The sequence below is a fragment of the Homo sapiens genome, chromosome 7 (genome assembly GCF_000001405.40).
Source record: "Homo sapiens chromosome 7, GRCh38.p14 Primary Assembly".
Lineage (NCBI taxonomy): Eukaryota > Metazoa > Chordata > Mammalia > Primates > Hominidae > Homo > Homo sapiens.
Window position 1 is genome coordinate 73,431,086 of NC_000007.14, and position 19,502 is coordinate 73,450,587.

Sequence of the window (19,502 nt, forward strand, 5' to 3'; positions counted from 1 at the left end):
AGTACTAATTACAGGGATGTGTGGGAAATGATGGCCCCATTTTCTCACCATTGCCACCACCACTGCTGACTCCTTCCCAAGTCCCTACCACAGGCCAGGCTCTAGTGCAGGCAGGTGTGGCTGAGCTGGGCCGGCTGGGCTGGTGTCCTGCCTCTGGTGGTGTTAACAGGCAGCCTCTTGCAATGGAGGAGCCTGGATGCCAATCTTGACCCTTACGAGCTGCGTAATCCTGGGCAAATATTTGAGTTTGCTAAGCCTCAATTTCTCATCTGTATATGGGTACGGGATTCCTTGTAGCACTGTGATGAGGGTGAACAAATGATCACTGTAAAATCCCTGGCCCAGAGCCCAGGAGGCTCACAACAGGTCCTCGGTCAGTTTCTGTGCCTCCCTGAAGTTCTAGGTTACTCACTCATTCATTCACTCACCATCCCTGGGCTCAGCCAGGGTGCCTAGCCCTGTACTAAGTGCTCGTATGAAACAGTGCTAAATGCTCACGTGCAACAGTACTAAGTGCTCACGTCAAACAGTACTAAGTGCTCATGTGAAACAGTGCTAAGTGCTCACGTGAAACAGTACTAAGTGCTCACATGAAACGATGCTAAGTGCTCACGTGAAATGATGCTAAGTGCTCACGTGAAACAGTACTAAGTGCTCACATGAAACGATGCTAAGTGCTCACATGAAACAGTACTAAGTGCTCATGTGAAACATTCTGAGTCCTCCAGGTGTTTCCAGGCCAAGAGAATAGGAACAGTTGGGTGAAAGGGGGATGGCCTTCTCTAAAGAGTCCCAGATCAGGGCCCCTTGCCCCTTGTGTGGCCTGCCGGTGGCACTTGGATTTCACCCACAGAGCTACCCAGGAACCATGGCAGTTTCTAAGCGGGTCCCAGGAGTCTCAAGGGGGCAGCCTAGAGAGAGGTGAGAGGGTGATGGCGACACTCCCCAGAGGAGCACGGTGGCCTTGTGAAATGGGTATGGGTTCCGGAACAGACAATCACAAATGGAACACTTAGTAGCTCTATGCCCTTGGGTATGTCATTCCTCTCTGAGACTCAGTTTCCCCACCTGGGAAATAAGGATAACGTAGCATTCTTGGATTGCTGAGAAGATACAATAAGGGCAAGTATGAAGTGTGATCGATCAGATTCAGGTGCCCAACACGTGTTGTTGATTTTCTTTTTTTTTTTTTCTTTTTTTTTTTTTTCAGGCCAGGCACCGTGGCTCATGCCTGTAATCCCAACACTTTGGGAGGCCGAGGTGGATGGATCACCTGAGGTCAGGAGTTCGAGACCAGCCTGGCCAACATGGTGAAACCCCTGTCTCTACTAAAAGTACAAAAATTACCCGGGAGTGATGGTGGGCGCCTGTAATCCCAGCTACTTGGAAGGTTGAGGCAGGAGAATTGCTTGAACCCGGGAGGCGGAGGTTGCAGTGAGCCAAGATCGCACCATTGCACTCCTGGGCGATGAGATGAGCCTGGGCGACAAGAGCGAAACTCCATCTCAAAAAAAAAAAAGCTATTTTTTTTTCTTTATTAGAGACGAGGTCTCACTATGTTGCCCAGGCTGATGGGGCAAGATGGGGGTGGGGGTGAGCCACTGCGCCTGGCAGAACTGTTGATTTTAACAGTAGGATTATCTGCCTGCATTACAGAAAAGCAAGCTGAGGCTCAGAGAGGAGCCCCAAGTCACATACACTGAGGGGAGAGGCAGACGCTGTATTTGAGCTGCCACTGGGTACAAGGCAGACTTCCACACGTGGGAAGCCTTAGAAATGGTCTCCCCTGGCCGGGCACGGTGGAGCACGCCTGTAATCCCGGCACTTTGGGAGGCAGAAGCGGGAGCATCCCTTGAGCCCAGGAGTTCAAGACCAGCCTGGGTAACATAGTGAGACCCTGTCTCTACAAAAACATTTTAAAATTAGCCGGGAGTGGTGGTGCCCACCTGTAATCCCAGCTACTCTGGTGGCTGAGGCGGGAAGGTCGCTTGAGCCCGGGAGATGGAGGCTGCAGTGAACTATGGTCGTTCCACTGGACTCCAGCCTGGGCGACACAGAGAGACCCTGTCTCTAAAAAGAAATAACAATTAAAAATAAAAATAAAAAGTCTTCCAGCTGGGCGCGGTGGCTCAAGCCTCTAATCCCAGCACTTTGGGAGGCCGAGGCAGGTGAATCACCTGAGGTCAGGAGTTCGAGACCAGCCTGGCCAAAATGGTGAAACCCCGTCTTTACTAAAAATACAAAAAATTAGAGGGGCGTGGTGGCAGGAGCCTGTAATCCCAGCTACTCGGGAGGCTGAGGCAGGATAATCGCTGGAACCCGGGAGGCGGAGGTTGCAGTGAGCCGATATCGCGCCACTGCACTCCAGCCTGGGCGACAAGAGCAAAACTCCGTCTCAAAAAAAAAAAAAAAAAAAAAAAAGTCTCCCTCCTAGAGTAAAATGAGGCGACCCAGTCTGAGAGTGTGGGTACGGGGACTTCCCGCAGCCTCTCCCAGGCAGCAAGGGAAGGGAAGAAACCGAGTGTAAGCGGAGGGCAAGCGGGCGGACACCCACCAGGCCCGGCCCCACCCCGTGCTCCGCGTGGCCGGGAGACGCGGCGCCTTTAAAGCCCAGTGGGAGGCGTGTCCCTGGGCGTGTCCTCCCGGAGCCCCGCCCCGGGGGCTGGTAGCCTCGGCCCCGGGAGGTTGCGCCGGCTCTGGCTCAGCGGCGGCTCCGGTGGCAGCGGCGGTGGCGGCTAGGCGGGCTCGGCGGCTCCTGTCCCTCGGGCGGCTGCCCGCTCGCTGCCCAGGGCGCCCGGACACACGTGGGCGGCTCAGCGATGGCCCGCGCCCCGCGACGTGGCGGGCAGGCACCGGGGCGCGGGACCGCTGAGCCCGAGTGAGCCGGGGCCGCGCTCCCGCCTTCGGCCCGGGCCTCCCGGGATGGCCGTGGCGCCTCTGCGGGGGGCGCTGCTGCTGTGGCAGCTGCTGGCGGCGGGCGGCGCGGCACTGGAGATCGGCCGCTTCGACCCGGAGCGCGGGCGCGGGGCTGCGCCGTGCCAGGCGGTGGAGATCCCCATGTGCCGCGGCATCGGCTACAACCTGACCCGCATGCCCAACCTGCTGGGCCACACGTCGCAGGGCGAGGCGGCTGCCGAGCTAGCGGAGTTCGCGCCGCTGGTGCAGTACGGCTGCCACAGCCACCTGCGCTTCTTCCTGTGCTCGCTCTACGCGCCCATGTGCACCGACCAGGTCTCGACGCCCATTCCCGCCTGCCGGCCCATGTGCGAGCAGGCGCGCCTGCGCTGCGCGCCCATCATGGAGCAGTTCAACTTCGGCTGGCCGGACTCGCTCGACTGCGCCCGGCTGCCCACGCGCAACGACCCGCACGCGCTGTGCATGGAGGCGCCCGAGAACGCCACGGCCGGCCCCGCGGAGCCCCACAAGGGCCTGGGCATGCTGCCCGTGGCGCCGCGGCCCGCGCGCCCTCCCGGAGACCTGGGCCCGGGCGCGGGCGGCAGTGGCACCTGCGAGAACCCCGAGAAGTTCCAGTACGTGGAGAAGAGCCGCTCGTGCGCACCGCGCTGCGGGCCCGGCGTCGAGGTGTTCTGGTCCCGGCGCGACAAGGACTTCGCGCTGGTCTGGATGGCCGTGTGGTCGGCGCTGTGCTTCTTCTCCACCGCCTTCACTGTGCTCACCTTCTTGCTGGAGCCCCACCGCTTCCAGTACCCCGAGCGCCCCATCATCTTCCTCTCCATGTGCTACAACGTCTACTCGCTGGCCTTCCTGATCCGTGCGGTGGCCGGAGCGCAGAGCGTGGCCTGTGACCAGGAGGCGGGCGCGCTCTACGTGATCCAGGAGGGCCTGGAGAACACGGGCTGCACGCTGGTCTTCCTACTGCTCTACTACTTCGGCATGGCCAGCTCGCTCTGGTGGGTGGTCCTGACGCTCACCTGGTTCCTGGCTGCCGGGAAGAAATGGGGCCACGAGGCCATCGAGGCCCACGGCAGCTATTTCCACATGGCTGCCTGGGGCCTGCCCGCGCTCAAGACCATCGTCATCCTGACCCTGCGCAAGGTGGCGGGTGATGAGCTGACTGGGCTTTGCTACGTGGCCAGCACGGATGCAGCAGCGCTCACGGGCTTCGTGCTGGTGCCCCTCTCTGGCTACCTGGTGCTGGGCAGTAGTTTCCTCCTGACCGGCTTCGTGGCCCTCTTCCACATCCGCAAGATCATGAAGACGGGCGGCACCAACACAGAGAAGCTGGAGAAGCTCATGGTCAAGATCGGGGTCTTCTCCATCCTCTACACGGTGCCCGCCACCTGCGTCATCGTTTGCTATGTCTACGAACGCCTCAACATGGACTTCTGGCGCCTTCGGGCCACAGAGCAGCCATGCGCAGCGGCCGCGGGGCCCGGAGGCCGGAGGGACTGCTCGCTGCCAGGGGGCTCGGTGCCCACCGTGGCGGTCTTCATGCTCAAAATTTTCATGTCACTGGTGGTGGGGATCACCAGCGGCGTCTGGGTGTGGAGCTCCAAGACTTTCCAGACCTGGCAGAGCCTGTGCTACCGCAAGATAGCAGCTGGCCGGGCCCGGGCCAAGGCCTGCCGCGCCCCCGGGAGCTACGGACGTGGCACGCACTGCCACTATAAGGCTCCCACCGTGGTCTTGCACATGACTAAGACGGACCCCTCTTTGGAGAACCCCACACACCTCTAGCCACACAGGCCTGGCGCGGGGTGGCTGCTGCCCCCTCCTTGCCCTCCACGCCCTGCCCCCTGCATCCCCTAGAGACAGCTGACTAGCAGCTGCCCAGCTGTCAAGGTCAGGCAAGTGAGCACCGGGGACTGAGGATCAGGGCGGGACCCCGTGAGGCTCATTAGGGGAGATGGGGGTCTCCCCTAATGCGGGGGCTGGACCAGGCTGAGTCCCCACAGGGTCCTAGTGGAGGATGTGGAGGGGCGGGGCAGAGGGGTCCAGCCGGAGTTTATTTAATGATGTAATTTATTGTTGCGTTCCTCTGGAAGCTGTGACTGGAATAAACCCCCGCGTGGCACTGCTGAGTCCTCTCTGGCTGGGAAGGGGGGAAGGTAGGAGGGTGAGGGCCCTGCAGGAGTCTTTCTTGTAAGCAGAGCTGGCAGTGGGTGCTGGCACCCCCCAATCAGGAGGAAGTCCCCCCGGAACAGCTGTGCATTGCAGGAGTCCCAGACACCATGTGTGCGTGTTTTCCCCTCCCGCCCGTCTCTGTGCTTCCAAATGGAGACAGGGACGCCTGCGGATGTTCAGGGAATTCCCCAGGGTGACACTGCCACCTCTGGCCCCAGGGAGTCCAGTTTGAGGCTATGGATGAGTTTTCCTTCTCTGGGAACTTGCTCTCCTTATTGGCGTGGAAAGTAAAGGTGTCAGCCTGTGTCAATGTTGTCACGAGGACCGCCTCCCTGGGGCCTTGGAAAATTGCTGGTGCGTCTGCCTGGCTCCTCGGGGCCCCCACCAGGGCAGCCCCCACCAGGGCAGCCCCAGCCTGCTCCCTGGCGTCTCCAGGTGGGGTGAAGAGGTTGTTCTGGTCTGTGGGCCTCTGGGTAGCACAGACATGCACGTGGAGCTGGGAAGCCCTTGAGTAGAGTGGGAATTGGGCCCCTAGCTCCTAAGCTTGTCAGATTTGAGTTGCTAATGGCAGCGGTGGGAATGAGGCAGCTCAGGTGGCTGTGCAGAGCTCCACACTGGGGCAGGTATGGGGAAAGGTCCCATGTCCATCTGTGTGCTGGGGTAGCTTAGGGCTGCTAGGGCCTGTCCTGTTTCTGCGGACTGGGTAGCTGGGCACGTGTGGCCATCTGGAGACCCCTATTGGCTTGGGGTCAGACCCCAGGGCCCCATCTTGGCTGCTGTGACTCCAGCCAGGTGAGAGTATTAGTTACTAGTGTCCCTGGGTGCCTACTATACACGGCCGGCATTTGGTGTCAGTGCCAGGAGATCCCAGCGGTCCAGCCCTGCTGCCAGCCTCACTTTAGAGCCACGGGGAGGCTCCAGGAGGGGAGACGCTCAGGTGCTGAGGATGAATGGTGAGGCGGAGCCCCAAACCTAGGGCCTCTCGGGCTGGAGCCCTGTGCCCTACCCCAACCACCAATCCTACAGGGACAAGAAAAGTCCAGTGAGAATCAAACAGGTTGGGTCACGCTCCCAGGAGACAAGACCATGGCAGGCTGAGGGGGTTAAGGGGTATTCCTCACCACAAGGCGCAGTGGTGCCCCAGGGAAGCTTACAGCCCTTGCACCTGTTCTTAGGCCGTTTATTGCACGGGGAACGCCCTCTCCATCTAAATCCTTCCCTTTGCGCAGAGCACACATTAAGTAAGTCCCCATGTGCCTCTGACCAACAAAGCCAAGTGACCCTACCTCCTTGTAATGCTGCACGAGGGTTTTTTGTTTGTTTTTTGTTTGTTTTTGTTTTTAATTTAAGGCAGAGTCTCACTCTGTTGCCCAGACTGGAGTGCAGTGGCACGATCTCAGCTCACTGCAATCTCTGCCTCCCAGGTTCAAGCAATTCTCCTGCCTCAGCCGCCTGGGTGGCATCCGCCACCATGCCTGGCTCATTTTTGTATTTTTTTGTAGAGACGGGGTTTCACCATGTTACCCAGGCTGGTCTTGAACTCCTGGCCTCAAGTGATCCACCCACCTTGGCTTCCCAAAGTGCTGGGATTATAGGCTTGAGCCACTGCACCTGGCCATGCGAGGGTCTTTGAGTGGGAAACAGAATGAGCTCGTTAGAGGCAGTAAAGTGCCCACACTGGGCGTGGGAGGGGCAGAGGCTTCAGGGAGCTGGGCTCACAGGCAGTGGAAGGGAAGATGGGAAGGGCCTATACCAGGGCGGGGGCAGCTGGAGCGAATGGAGAGGATTCCACAGACTTGGGAAGAGCAAGGCAGGCGGGGTGTGGGAAAGGCAGGGGGAGGATGAGCATCCAAGGGCACCCACCTGCCCCTTCTTTCTTCCTTGCTGTCAGTGACCATGTCCTGCTCAGCAGACACCAGCCTGCTGCTGGTTTTCAGGGCAGCCCAGATGGGAGCGCAGAGAGGGGCAGTGCAGGGTCAGGACAGGCCCCGGGGGCTGTGCTTTGAGGCCAGGACCTGGGAGGGAGGGCAGGGCCCTGCCAGCTTTCTCAGACCTGGAAGATGCTATGGAAATAAGTCCTAGGCCCTGGAGGAAAGGGAAAAAGGAAACACAGCCCTCTCATGTGATCTGCTCGCCTCACGTTTCGGACGGGAAGTGTTTAGATTGGTTGGCCGCTACAGCACATAGCCACGCAGTTTGAGGCCAAGCTGGGAGTTGAACCCAAGTCTGCCTCCAGAACTTTTGTGCGTTCCACACCAGGGATCCGATTAGGTCCTGGTGGGGAAAGGCAGGGTGTATGCCTTGGCAAGTTTATGTCCCCAGAAGCTGGGCAAAGCGGGTGGGGAGGAGACAAACACCCCTACCACTGCCAGACCTCTCCCCACGCCCATTAAAGAACCCTCCAGGGCCAAACAAAAATACCTCGGAAACCCACACGTGCTGGCATGTGCATCGCGTGCCCAGGCCCGGGCCTTCCCCTTAGTGGTCCTGGTGCCCAGCATTTGGGTCTTCAGAGTGCGGCACCACACGCCCGCAAGCCTCTTGGGAGGCTGAGCCTGTCCCTGTGGGTTTGCGCTTGTGTGTGGTGAGCCCAAGATCCTCCTGCTCCCAGGAAGTTGCCCGCTCAAGGAAGCAGCTCCTGAACACAGCAGTCCCAGGTGTTGAAAAGCCAGGAGGCCCAGGGCTGGGGTTAGGAGAGCGCAGTTAATGGGAGGTGAGTTCCTCAGTGTCCTCCAGAGACACCCTAGCCCCTGGCCAGCAGGAAGAGATGCCCCCTCTGAGTGGCTCTGTTGGAATCCAGATGCCACCTGTTAACCAAGTCTACTGACCATGTCACCTCCCCAGAGACAAAACTTGAGAAGAGTGTGCAGGACAAGGACAGGCCTCAGCTGACTCCCAGGTCATGACTCAGGCCCCTGTCCTCAGAGATGGAGTTCCCATGCCCCCATTTGCAGTCATCAAAGTGGCTGCCCCACAAGGTCACAGCCTGGTAAGGCAGTGGCTAAGAGTGTGCTGAGACCAGGACACGACCAGAAGTGACCACCCCAAGGCAGTATCCTAGTGTGTGCCTGGGGAAATTACTGGAGGAGCAGGACTTCATAGAGGAAGGCTGGGAGCCCCAAGTGTCACTGTCGCCATGCAGAAAATGTCCAGAAGGAGCATGGTTCTCTTCTCCAGAGCTGGAGGCTGGAGCGGATGAGCAGGAAAATTCAATCTGCTGTTGGGGCAAGCCCGCTTCCTCCAGGCAGGACAAAAATTCCCCAAGTGTTCTGTGTAGGACCTGGCTCGCCCGTGCTTACCAAGGCCGCAAAGCTGCTCAGCAGCAGAACCTGCGCCCAAGGCTCAGGCCTCAAAGGCTCTTCCCATTACACCAGCTTCACCTCGTTCAGCTGGTCAGGAATTGGCAGTTTAATTTCTCAGTAATTGGGCCCACAGCAGTGGCTCAGCAAAATCTCTGTATTCCATTGGCGGGTGGCTGCCTAGCAGCACCCTACGCATATCAGCCAGTCAGACTTTAAAAGATAAATGAAGGCATAAATAAAACAAGATTAGACATGTGGTAGAACCGTCAAAGCCGAGTGCATGGGAATTCATTATACTTTTCCACTGTTTGTGTGTTTGAAATTTTCCTTGAGGCTGGGCGCGGTGGCTCACACCTGTAATCCCAGCACTTTGGGAGGCCAAGGCGGGTGGATCATCTGAGGTCAGGAGTTCGAGACCAGCCCGGACAACATGGTGAAAACCTGGCTCTACTACAAATACAAAAACTTAGCCAGGCGTGGTGGCATGTCCCTGTAACCCCAATTACTCGGGAGGCTGAGGCAGGAGAATTGCTTGAACCCAGGAGATGGAGGTTGCAGCGAGCTGAGACCACGCCACTGCATTCCAGCCTGGGTGATGGAGTGAGACTGTCCCCACCGCCCCCCTCCCCAAAATTTTTTTTCCCTGAGAAAGGTTTTAAAATGGCAGAATTTCCCCATAGTGAAGGCTTAAAAACCTATTTTCACCGTAATTCCTAGTTTCAAATGAAGTTTTTCAGGGTTTTAGACGGAGACAGGGCCAGGAGAGGCTTGGAGGGAGTACTTCTTTCTGTGGTTAAGAACACTGAGAGGCCCTGACTCTGGAGGCCAAGCCTTCAGAGGACCCGGCTCCAAGGGTCAGTGGGAAAGCAGCACTCGGGACAGCACTACCCACCCCCACCCACCAAGAAAGAGCACAAACAGCCACCAGAGTGGTTTCTTCTTTATAAACACAAGTACATGAGGTTTATTTGAAATTCCAATTTATTACAAGTTCACCCTTTAATGGGGCCCTTCCTCTTTGAAGACAATAAAAAAAAAAAACAACAACAAACAATTCAGGTGTCACTGAAGTGGGAACACAGGATTCTCACTATGAACAAGAACAGACTGGATGTAGGAGGCAGGGGAAGCTGGCGGTGGTGGGGTTATGAAGCTGTGATGTCAGTGCCAACTCCATGCCTATAGAAGGGACGGTAAACTACCCAGCAGCCCTGGAGCAATCCTCGTCGTCCTTGGGCAGGAGGACGGAGGAAGCAGAGGCCACATTCCGCAGTTTAAAATTAAGAGGCTTGATTCTCATGTTCTAGGAGCTGCAGTCCCCTTGGTGGACTTTAAATAGGTACAGAAGAGCTTGGGTGCTCAAAATTTCCAAATTCAAAGGTGATAAAAAAGAAAAACCCTGTTTTGTACTTTTATCAAAATCCATCATAAAAGGGAAAGAAGACTACAAAGTTTTGCCTAAATATAACAACTAGAGCTAGATTTGTTGTGGGGGAAGGGGCTCTCAGAGCTTCTCTGCCGCTCTCTCCTCCCACCCCCCACCGACACTGACCACTGGAATCTTCAGGTTCTTGAGGAGTTCCAAGGCTGAGGTCAGAACGGGCATGGGAGGCAGCAGACACAGCACTGCCCTGCTCCCCCTCCAATGTTGCTGCTTGCCTCAATGAGCCTCCAACCCAACTGCTCTAGAGGAGAGTGGATGGGCTGAAGGAGAAGCCAGGGAAGTTAGAGCAAACACATTATCATAGAAACTGTACTGTACATGTGCTAAAGCAAGATGTCAGGAGTATCTTACAAGATGTTCTTTATACAATATCACTGCTGAAACAAGCAACTTTTAATAACTAGAAAAGTCAATTTAAAAAAAAAATTAAACATTTAAATTCTTCCTGCTTTTCTTCTGCTCCCCTAAGAGCTTGACTGGTATGTGGGTGGGCTGGGCTCCAACACCCCTCTGGCCAGATCCATCAAAGTAAAGGTTATATGCATGATTATAAGCAGGACTCCAGTCTCTAAGTGAAGTGCCTTAGTTTTGTTTTTTTGTTTTTTGTGGTTTTTTTATTTTTTGGGGGGGTGGGAGGAGCTGTCACAAAGAAGGGGAGATTCAGGAATGGCTCCAGGACACGTCCCTTTACTCTGCCAAGATCAACTCAAAAGACCACAACTGTTTCATGATGCTGGTGAATACACAATTCTGTATGGCACTCACTGATACTGTCACCTGAGAGGAAGACGGGGGAAGAGACAGAGTATGGGCTTAAAGAAACAAGACTGTATAATAAATACAGATTAAAAAAGAAAAATCGCCACCATCTCCCCTGTTGGCCTGATTACCCCGATCCTGCTATGTAACACAGCAATCCCTCCCCTGGAGACCAGAGGGGCTTGGCACTGTGGTGGAAGCCAGAGCGAGCAGGCCCTTAGGAAAGAAGGCAGGAACAGGAACTGGCTTCACCAGAAAAGCTAGACCCTCGGACTCCTCCTGGAAACTCTCAGAAGGGAGGGTTATGGCCCTCTTTGTCCCTTCATATTTCTGGACAAAGACCACCAACCCAATATCAAGCCCCATAAAGAGCTTTTAGAAAAACAGCATAAGCTTGGGATGACAGGCGTTTCTGGACTCCCTGTGATCTCTTCCAGGTTCTTGGTCTTCCTCGCTCGCCTCCCTCCCACCCTCCCTAGCTGTCCCCCCACCTCAGCTCCCTTACCACGGCCCTGCCTCTCTACTTCTTCTGTCTTCGTCCCCTGGACTGTCCAACGGCCTCTGGCTCACTGTCCCCTTCATCTTCAGCAAGCCTATCAGGAAACTTCTTGCGCTTCCTGCGGACATATGGGTGGCCAGGAAGGTGTTTATGCAACAGAGCCACTAGACACTGTTCTGTCTTCACCATGCAGCTTAGCACATGGCTGCCACGGCAGTTGTAAACCTCAGCATTGGTAAACACTTGCTTCATGTCAGTAAGAAACTCCTGCACAGAGCGGTAGCTCCCACAGGAACATTTGTTCTGCACTGTCTGAAAGTCCATGGGGTGCGTGATCACATCATAGTAGTCCTCGGCCTCATCTCTGGTCACAGGCTCCCTGTGGAGAAGAACCAAATGGAGAATCTGCACAGCCTTGACGGCAGTGCCCCTGCCACTGAGACACGTCCTGAAAAGCAAGGGCTTGGCTGAGAGCCCCTCAGGGGCTCTGGAAGCTTTTAGAACCAGCCAGGCCACTCCTCTCCCCTGCACCTGAGAACACAGCACTCACCTGAAGGGCCAGCTGAAGCGGTACTTCACGATCTTGTGGAGGATCTCTTCACACTTCTGCAGCTCCAGGCTTTGCCTCCGGGAGCTCCGCTTGGTCTGAAGCACCTGGCAGGAAAGAAAGAACAATGTTATTACAGATTCAAGACAGGAGGAAGAATGGACAGGGCAGAAAATAAGTGTATCTGCTCAAAAAAGGAAGAGAGTTCAACTATTTCCTTGGCGCAGAGGTGCTGAAACCTTCTGATATTCAAGTCAGGGAGCACCCTCGGCCCAGGTGGCAGGCATCTTCCCAGTAGTCCACTCACTCGCCTCCCCCGGGGCCACGGCAATCAAAGCAGCAAAGAGCAGGCAGCGGGGGCCGCCTTTACCAGCAGTCCTGCTGGAGGTCGGCTGAAGGGGGCTACTGTCAACAGGACACTAGCTCTCAGAGAACAGGTGGACCTGGGGTTACAGTGACACCATGGAAGGGCATCAACAAGCCACTGCAGAAAGCAAAACATGCTATCTGGGCCAACAGCAGCCAATTCTGTGGGGGTGGGGTGCCTCTGGTAAGAAAAGCAAGAGGTCCAATTCCCTTCCTGGGCTCTTCCACCGTAGACATGTGAGGGTTAAGTGGCTAAAGAGAAAAGGGGCGGGGCCTCCATTCCAGGTAGCCATAACAAAAGCTGTGATTCACAGCAGAGGCCACAGAGCCCAAGGCTGTGGCAAACCGAGCATCTTCTAATGCCTTATGATCTCCCAAATGGCCTGCCTTAAGCCCCTAACTCCAATTTGATCTGTCAAAACAAGCACCTTTTCAAGAGTTTCTTTTTTGTTCTTTAAAGCTCAAGTGAGATCTAAAAACTACTAAAATTACATTGGTTAAGGAGCAGAGGGGAGGGTAATGTCCCTCCCATAACAACTGTCGACTCAACAGTAAGTGAGGCTCCAGCATTGCTGACATTCCCACAATGAAGACCCAGCCCCTCTGAGCCCACTGGAGACACATGGATACTATTTTTAAATCCTTAATAAGTTGCAGGCTGCCCGCTAACTAGTTTGCAGGCTACAGCAGGGGAATGCCGGACATAGCTGTTCCTGGAGGCCTTGCTGCTTCTGTCTGCGTACAGGCTCACCCATCTGCCTCCCCAGCCTCCCAAGTTTGGTAAGAAGGAGGAGGGGGGAGGCTCCCCTCCCACCTGTTGCCTGATGAATTCCTAATTGCTGGGGTAGGGAATAAGAAACAGAAAGGTTAGAGAAGGGATGATAAATAATTCTCACCAGCTCATCCACCTCAGCATCATCCACAGGTGGTGCCTTGGGCTGAGACCTCCTGGTAGAGTGTGGCTTCTTACCCGGGCGCCGGCCTGACCTTGCTGCAGGGGGGATGACGCTGTGCTTGCCCCGGATGGTCTTTCGAGGTCTCACTGAAAGAAAAACTATGGATTCAGCAGAGAACAACGGAAGGTGAAGGGAGGAGCATCTTCGAAATGGGGGAAAGGGATGCAGGGAGAATCCTTTTCCTGGACAAGGAAAGCAGTGGCCTCCTTTGGTTTTAAGGTGCTCTTGCTATTTTATCTTGCCTTACCTAACAGGACACTAAAAGGCAGTGGCAGCCGATGAAGAATGGGTGCCTTTCATCCACTGCCAAAGCCCTTCAGAGGGCTAGGTCCTTCAGTACTTCTGTCCTGCCCCGTCCTGCAGTTACTCCCAGCCATAAGGCCCCTGCAGGAATCAACTGTAAACTCTCACTCATGAGAAGCCATTTGCTAATAGGTCAGCCTGGATTTCCCACAGCCCAAGCTCAGCCTGAGCGAGTGGATGTATTTACATGTAAGATGGAACTGGATTGTAAAACAAACCCTATGTTGTAATTCCCAGAGTTATTCTACACTTACCATCAGAATCTTTCCAGAGAAAAGCTGGTACTTCCATGAAGGGCCACAAGGCTCCTCATTAAATACAATTTAGGGCTAGTCCCCTCCATAAGAGCCCTGCCCAGGATCCCCAATGAGAGAATAAAGAATATAGGCCGGGCGTTGTGGCTCACACATGTAATCCCACCACTTTAGGAGGCTGAGGCAGGTGGATCACCTGAGGTCGGGAGTTCAAGACCAGCCTGACCAACATGGTGAAACCCCGTCTCTACTAAAAATACAAAATTAGCAGGGCGTGGTGGCACATGCTGGTAATCCCAGCTACTCAGGAGGCTGAGGCAGGAAAATCGCTTGAACCTGGGAGGCGGAGGTTGCAGTGAGCCGAGATCACGCCACTGCACTCCAGCCTGGGAAACAAGGGTGTAACTCCATCTCACAAAAGAAAAAAAACACACACACACACACACACAAAGGCACTGAGACTACTTGTGTCTCAGGTTTACAACAGGTGCTCACCATCAAGCCAACTGGCATTCCTCAGTGAGCCCTGGGAAACAATGCCATGAGGATTTAGCTCCAGGCTCTCCACCACCTTCCCTTGGGGAGTGGGGAGATGACACTGGACACAGAGGTCTAGGAAGGCAGTGACACGAATAATCCAGAAACACTACTTTCCATTCTATTTCTGGATCACGATAACCCTTTCTTGGCTACTTTAGCGTCTCTAGCTCAAGCCCAGGCTAGTAAGAAAGGGTAAGAATCTGATGCTTAGGTGCTAGAACCTTGAGCTGCACTGGGGAACCACATCTTTGGTGGTCTGAAAGATAGAGTTGACAAAAAGCTCTGAAGTACCAAATACTTCCCAGATCCTTTTGGCAAGTCGAGGCCGTAAAAACTTAGAAAAGCAATTCCTTGGAAAGAGAGCTACAACGTAGAAGTGGAAAGCAATCACTAGCTTACAAATAAACAGAATCAGTATACTACCATATTCAGGATCTGCCCTCAGAGAGATCAGGCGCAGTGGCTCACACTTGTAATCCCAGCACTTCGGGAGGCCAAGGCAGGAGGATCACTTGAACCCAAGAGTTCAAGACCAGCCTGGGAAACATGGCAAGACCCTATCTCTACAAAAAAGCCGGGCATGGTGGCACGTGCCTGTAGTCCCAGCTGCTCAGGAGGCTGAGGTAAGGAGGATTGCTTAAGCCTGAGAGATCGAGGATACAGTGAGCAGTGATCATACCAGTGCACTCTAGCCTGGGCAACAGAGAAAGATACCCATCCCCCGCTCCGCCAAAAAAAATATGTTCCCAAACAAAGGTGTGCCCAAGTCACTGACTCTGACCAACAGAAGAGGATATTCCTGAATGCAGGACTGATGGGCCATTTGTTCACTTACCCTAGGATACCTGAAAAATCAGGCGTAGTGAACAAACAAAAAGAGCCCATACGTATGTGAGAGCTTAAGGTGTCCCACATCACACCTCTGAAGTATGGGGGGGAAAGTGGGAGGACAGGAGAAGACGGGCAAGCCCAAATCATTAGGTTTTGGCAGTCTCACTACAGTAAGAGACTAGTCATGCCAGGCATCCTCTCTCTCACTCCTTATACCAAGTATGACCATTCAGAGCTGCTATGATCTTGGGAACTGTACCACTGCTTCAAAAGCTCATTAGAATTTTGATCTGTGGTCTGTTTTCTACGAACCTGTAAAGAAAAGTGTATTGGCCGGGCATAGTGGCTTATGCCTGTAATCCCAGCACTTTGGGAGGCCAAGGCAGGCAGATCACTTGAGCTCAGGAGTTCGAGACCAGCCTGGCCAACATGGTGAAACTCCATCTCTACTAAAAATACAAAAATCAGCCAGGTGTGGTGGTGGGTGTCTGTATACTCGGGAGGCTGAGGCAGAGACTGAGGTAATCTGAGGTCATACCACTGCACTCCAGCCCAGGCGACAGTGAGACCATCTCAAAAAAAAAAAAAAAAAAAAAAAAGTGTATTTTGGAAAGAGGGAGGCTGCTAAAAGAAAGGCTAGACTGGAGGACATTAGCCACAAACACCAGACTCTCCAACACTCATGAGAAATGAACATGAGAGAATGAGAGTCAATGCGGTGAACACAAAAGATGATGCCTTTTTTCCTACTGGCATCTAGTGAGAACAGATCTGAATCTTCCTAACATCCTTCCACCTAAGCCTTCAAATAATCAGTCGTCTCTTTTCAAACCAGCAAAGCTATAACCCTGCACACTGCAGGGAGGAGAAAATCACTGTAACCAGACAGAAAAAGTCACTCTCTGAAAGCAGCGATAAAACAACAGCCAAAAGAACTGTCAGGAGATGGCAATGGGCCAAGATCTTCCTTCCCCATTGTCCCCATATGCCGAGGAGCTGAGAATCAGCAGCCTTGGCATAAATATACTTGGGACCATGAATTCTACTAAATCTTAGAGCAAGTGGGTTGATGTTACTGAGATCAAGCCACCTTCTCTCCCACCAGGCAGGAAGTTAAACGCCATCTTGGAAACCCATTTAAACCCATGGCAGCTAAGTTACGCCACAGTCACAACACAAGAGAAAAGGAATAGGGCAAGCCGGCCACACTACCTACTGCCAAGCCAGCCTTTCCAAGCGTTCCAAGCTTAGAAGACTGTGAAATCAACTACAAAGGCAGACAAAATACTTACATCGCAAACCAGCCACCTCATAATCTTCTTCCTCCTCCTCCTCTTCTTCCTCCTCCTCCTCTTCATCACTCTCATCATCTTCACTGTCCTCAGAAGCAGACTCTTCAGTATAGTTCCTGTGGGTAGAAAAAATAATGTAGGGAACACAGTTTTAGCCCAAAGTGGTCCTAAGAAGGGCTCAAATCCCACAGGGATCAGGAAACTTCTCTTCACAGACTACATATGTATAACGTATGATAATTCAGGGAGGGAACCTGAATGTAAGCCAGGAGAGTTTTTCATAAAAATGAAAAACCAAGTTTCAACAGCATGCCTCATGCCTCCTTCTGCCAGGCCACAGACAGTTTGGACAAGATACCAAAGGCAACAGAAATTAAGACCAAAATGCAATCCTACCCTTCCCCACACAAAGCAATACAAAACACTGTTTCTTTTGTCTCACAAAAAGAGCCAGATAATGTAATACATCAGTTACTAAAAGCTGTCCCCACCTCTGAGGTAGACTGAAAAGAATAAACAGAGCCCAGACAGGTGTGACTTCACCTTGATGGCCCCCTTCCAGGAGCTGAAACAGCTTGCAGATGACCATAATATCAAAGCAGTGGTAATCCCAGCTCGGAACAGCTGGTCCAAAGCCCCACCATTTCAGAGCAACATGTCTCATCTCTAAGTGCAGCTGGGATGGAGTGCAAAAGAACCTGCTAATACTGTTAAGGTGGGGTCAGGATCAAACAGCTCTGCCCCTTAGAAGGAAGCCCAGGCCGGGCACCGTGGCTCACGCCTGTAATCCCAGCACTTTGGGAGGCTGAGGCAGGCGGATCACCTAAGGTCGGGAGTTCGAGACTAGCCTGACCAACATGGAGAAACCCCATCTCTACTAAAAATACAAAATGAGCTGGGTGTGGTGGCGCATGCTTGTAGTCCTAGCTACTCGGGAGGCTGAGGCAGCAGAATCGCTTGAACCTGGGAGGTGGAAGTTACAGTGAGCCGAGATCGCGCCATCGTACTCCAGCCTGGGCAACAAGAGCGAAACTCCGTCTCAAAAAAGAAGCCCAAGCCAGAGTACCTATAAGCTGCACATTTTACAACCCCAAATTTCAGTGTGGAAAACAACAGTATTATCTTGGCAAGTACAAGGTGTCTCCTCTTTACAAGGCCCGGTATTTGGCCTTATTGAGATTCAAGTAAAAAAACAAAGCACCACCTCTACTCTCAGGGCATTCATAATCTCATGGGAGACAGACATGTATAAAACCAGAGACAAGATCCATGCACCAAAATACTACTTCAGAGAATGGAGGTTCAGCTGAACACAGAGGAGAAACCATGAAGCCTAAGGATGCAAGCACTTTTCAAAAGCGCAGTGAAATTTTAGCGAAGCCATGGGCAGTTTACCCACTGGGAATTCTGGGCAGAGAATGTTCCCAGCTGGGAGAAAGGCACAAGAGGCAAGGATGAACAACAAACGGTCTGTAACAAGTACACAAATATGGGATCTAAAGCTAATAAAAACCCAAGCTGGTATTGTGTAAGAGTCTCAGAAGTGAGGCCAGGAATTGGGATGTTATTCTAGAGGCAATGGGAAGACTAGAAGTTTGTGATCAGGAATGTGAGCAGATCTTTGCTTTGTGTACAGCATTCTGGTGTTGCAATAGTTGGGTGGATAAGAGGGGAGAAGACGTGATATAAGAAAGAGGAGTTGAGAAGCCACCAAAGGAGCCCAGGTGACAGATGTAGAAGGGACAAATGATAGCGGAGACCACGGAGAATGGAGAGCAAGAAACTGGATCATCAAACATCTGGGCATTGGATTGATATCATGGCAAATTAATGGGTTTGTAGGATGAGGGAGAGATGTTCATTTCCAAGTTGACACCCAAGTTCTACTCATGATAGGGAAGAAAACATTATGTATCGGTAAGGAAGGTAATGAGTGTGAGATTTTTAGCAGTGGGTGATAGCAGAAGTAATCATGAAGACACAGGAAGTGGGCAACAGGAGGCTAAAGGCAGAGAGAGAGATTTCATTACTTGAGAAGAAGGTATGATCAAGAAGACAGAGAATGTGGCTGGCAGTGAAAACTAGAAATGTCAACATTCAGCTAAAATTAGCTCAGAGTCCTTTGAGCTCCTATTGAAGTACTGTAAATGATCAGGCTCTGTACCCAAAAGATGAACTTAAAGCTCCTTAGATTCATTCTGTTTGAATAACTCAAGCTTAATTATAACAGCTATTCATATTTATTCATTCAATTATTTTTAAAAGAAAAGATTCTCACCTGCCACGGGAGTTGCGCCTGGCAGTAGCGGGCTGGCAAGCTGGGCACTGCCACTCACCATCTGGTACTTCATAGAGGGCCGGCCTCAGACAAAACAGGTGGAAGGCTTTATTACACTCATCACACAAGATCAATTTGTCATCCTCACCTGCAGAGAGATAAATGTGAATAGCATTGTTGGGAGCACAGCAGCAGTCAATGAGCTGTAAGGAAGAGGCAATCACCCTACAATTCAAGGCACACGAGGAGACATGTTCCATAGAATGCTACCCAGTTGTTGCTTTGTAAATGCAGGCATTTTCTAAAAAGAAATGAAGCATAACTTAGATTACAGATAATTTGGGAATCAGGTCTCCTAATTTATATCCCAAAACTTACCCATGGCTATGACAGAACAGTTAACAATTACTAAGAGGCACAAAAAACCCAAGTGAGAGTAGGAAATTTTGCTGCTTTTTCGACCTCCCCAAACGTTTCTCAACTTATGCCTGATGAGTGTTCTCTCTCTCTCTTTTTTTTTTTTGGAGACAGAGTCTTGCTCTGTCACCCAGGCTGGAGTGCAGTGGCGCGATCTCGGCTCACTGCAACCTCCGCCTCCCGGGTTCAAGTGATTCTCCTGCTTCAGCCTCCCAAAGTGCTGGGATTACAGGCGTGAGCCACCGCGCCCGGCCCCTGATGGGTTCCCTTAAACCATGTGGTTTCTTACATTTGAAAAAGTGTTGTGCTGAGTCAACTTAATATGGTAATCTCTCCTTCCAACCTTCATTCTAGAGCGATTGAACGCTTTACAGCAACTGAATGATTTTACGTAGATCTTTTCATCTCTAACCTAACTCAGAAAATAACTCTAGCCACTGAAAAGCCAATCAGCAAGGGGCTTCTAACCATGAAGTTCCTTTTGCACATATGAGACTGCATGCCACCCTCTGTACCCGGACTGCCTCCTGCTGAAAGCACATATCTTACTTCACAGATGACTAAAGTTCTGAGCCAATCAAAGGATTTAAAACTAAACTAACTAAAATAGTTACAAGGATTAACTAATT

The 19,502-nt window shown here is 52.7% G+C and overlaps 2 protein-coding genes across 3 annotated transcripts in view, besides 5 other annotated features; one reads left to right on the forward strand and one right to left on the reverse strand.

Moving 5' to 3' along the window:
- Nucleotides 2,506-2,795: a silencer, noted in NCBI's record as "silent region_18247". NCBI's record gives its function as "represses an Ori minimal core promoter by ATAC-STARR-seq in GM12878 lymphoblastoid cells {active_cell/tissue: GM12878}" and the evidence as "EXISTENCE:reporter gene assay evidence [ECO:0000049][PMID:35858748]".
- Nucleotides 2,506-3,385: a biological region, named in NCBI's record as "H3K27ac-H3K4me1 hESC enhancer GRCh37_chr7:72847927-72848800".
- Nucleotides 2,512-3,385: an enhancer, noted in NCBI's record as "H3K27ac-H3K4me1 hESC enhancer chr7:72847927-72848800 (GRCh37/hg19 assembly coordinates)". NCBI's record gives its function as "activates a minimal SCP1, AML or CMV promoter by ChIP-STARR-seq in naive H9 embryonic stem cells {active_cell/tissue: H9 hESC(naive)}" and the evidence as "EXISTENCE:reporter gene assay evidence [ECO:0000049][PMID:30033119]".
- FZD9 (frizzled class receptor 9) lies at nucleotides 2,693-5,035 on the forward strand. Its single transcript, NM_003508.3, has one exon. It carries the CDS (start codon nucleotides 2,923-2,925, stop codon nucleotides 4,696-4,698), a length of 1,776 nt encoding a protein of 591 aa, NP_003499.1. The 5' UTR covers nucleotides 2,693-2,922; the 3' UTR covers nucleotides 4,699-5,035.
- Nucleotides 4,334-4,628: a silencer, noted in NCBI's record as "tiled region #10074; K562 Repressive non-DNase unmatched - State 7:EnhWF". NCBI's record gives its function as "represses a minimal TATA promoter and a strong SV40 promoter by Sharpr-MPRA in K562 cells {active_cell/tissue: K562}" and the evidence as "EXISTENCE:reporter gene assay evidence [ECO:0000049][PMID:27701403]".
- The window catches only part of BAZ1B (bromodomain adjacent to zinc finger domain 1B), an 81,888-nt gene continuing 71,706 nt past the window's right edge, over nucleotides 9,321-19,502 (reverse strand). Inside the window, exons 15-20 of one of the 2 annotated variants that reach the window (NM_032408.4) lie at nucleotides 18,457-18,604; nucleotides 16,179-16,294; nucleotides 12,899-13,044; nucleotides 11,640-11,743; nucleotides 11,096-11,468; nucleotides 9,321-10,608 (exon numbers count right to left, since the gene is read on the reverse strand). In NM_032408.4, the coding sequence (NP_115784.1) occupies nucleotides 11,111-11,468; nucleotides 11,640-11,743; nucleotides 12,899-13,044; nucleotides 16,179-16,294; nucleotides 18,457-18,604 (872 nt within the window). In that variant the 3' untranslated portion in view covers nucleotides 9,321-10,608; nucleotides 11,096-11,110. Of the gene's footprint in view, nucleotides 11,469-11,639; nucleotides 11,744-12,898; nucleotides 13,045-16,178; nucleotides 16,295-18,456; nucleotides 18,605-19,502 lie in introns of both variants that reach the window. The other variant, NM_001370402.1, reaches the window with a different exon arrangement.
- Nucleotides 11,535-12,505: an enhancer, noted in NCBI's record as "H3K4me1 hESC enhancer chr7:72856950-72857920 (GRCh37/hg19 assembly coordinates)". NCBI's record gives its function as "activates a minimal SCP1, AML or CMV promoter by ChIP-STARR-seq in primed H9 embryonic stem cells {active_cell/tissue: H9 hESC(primed)}" and the evidence as "EXISTENCE:reporter gene assay evidence [ECO:0000049][PMID:30033119]".

Coding starts and splice junctions, on each gene's coding strand:
- FZD9 (NM_003508.3), top strand. CDS start 2,923: ATGGCCGTGGCGCCTCTGCGGGGGGCGCTGCTGCTGTGGCAGCTGCTG.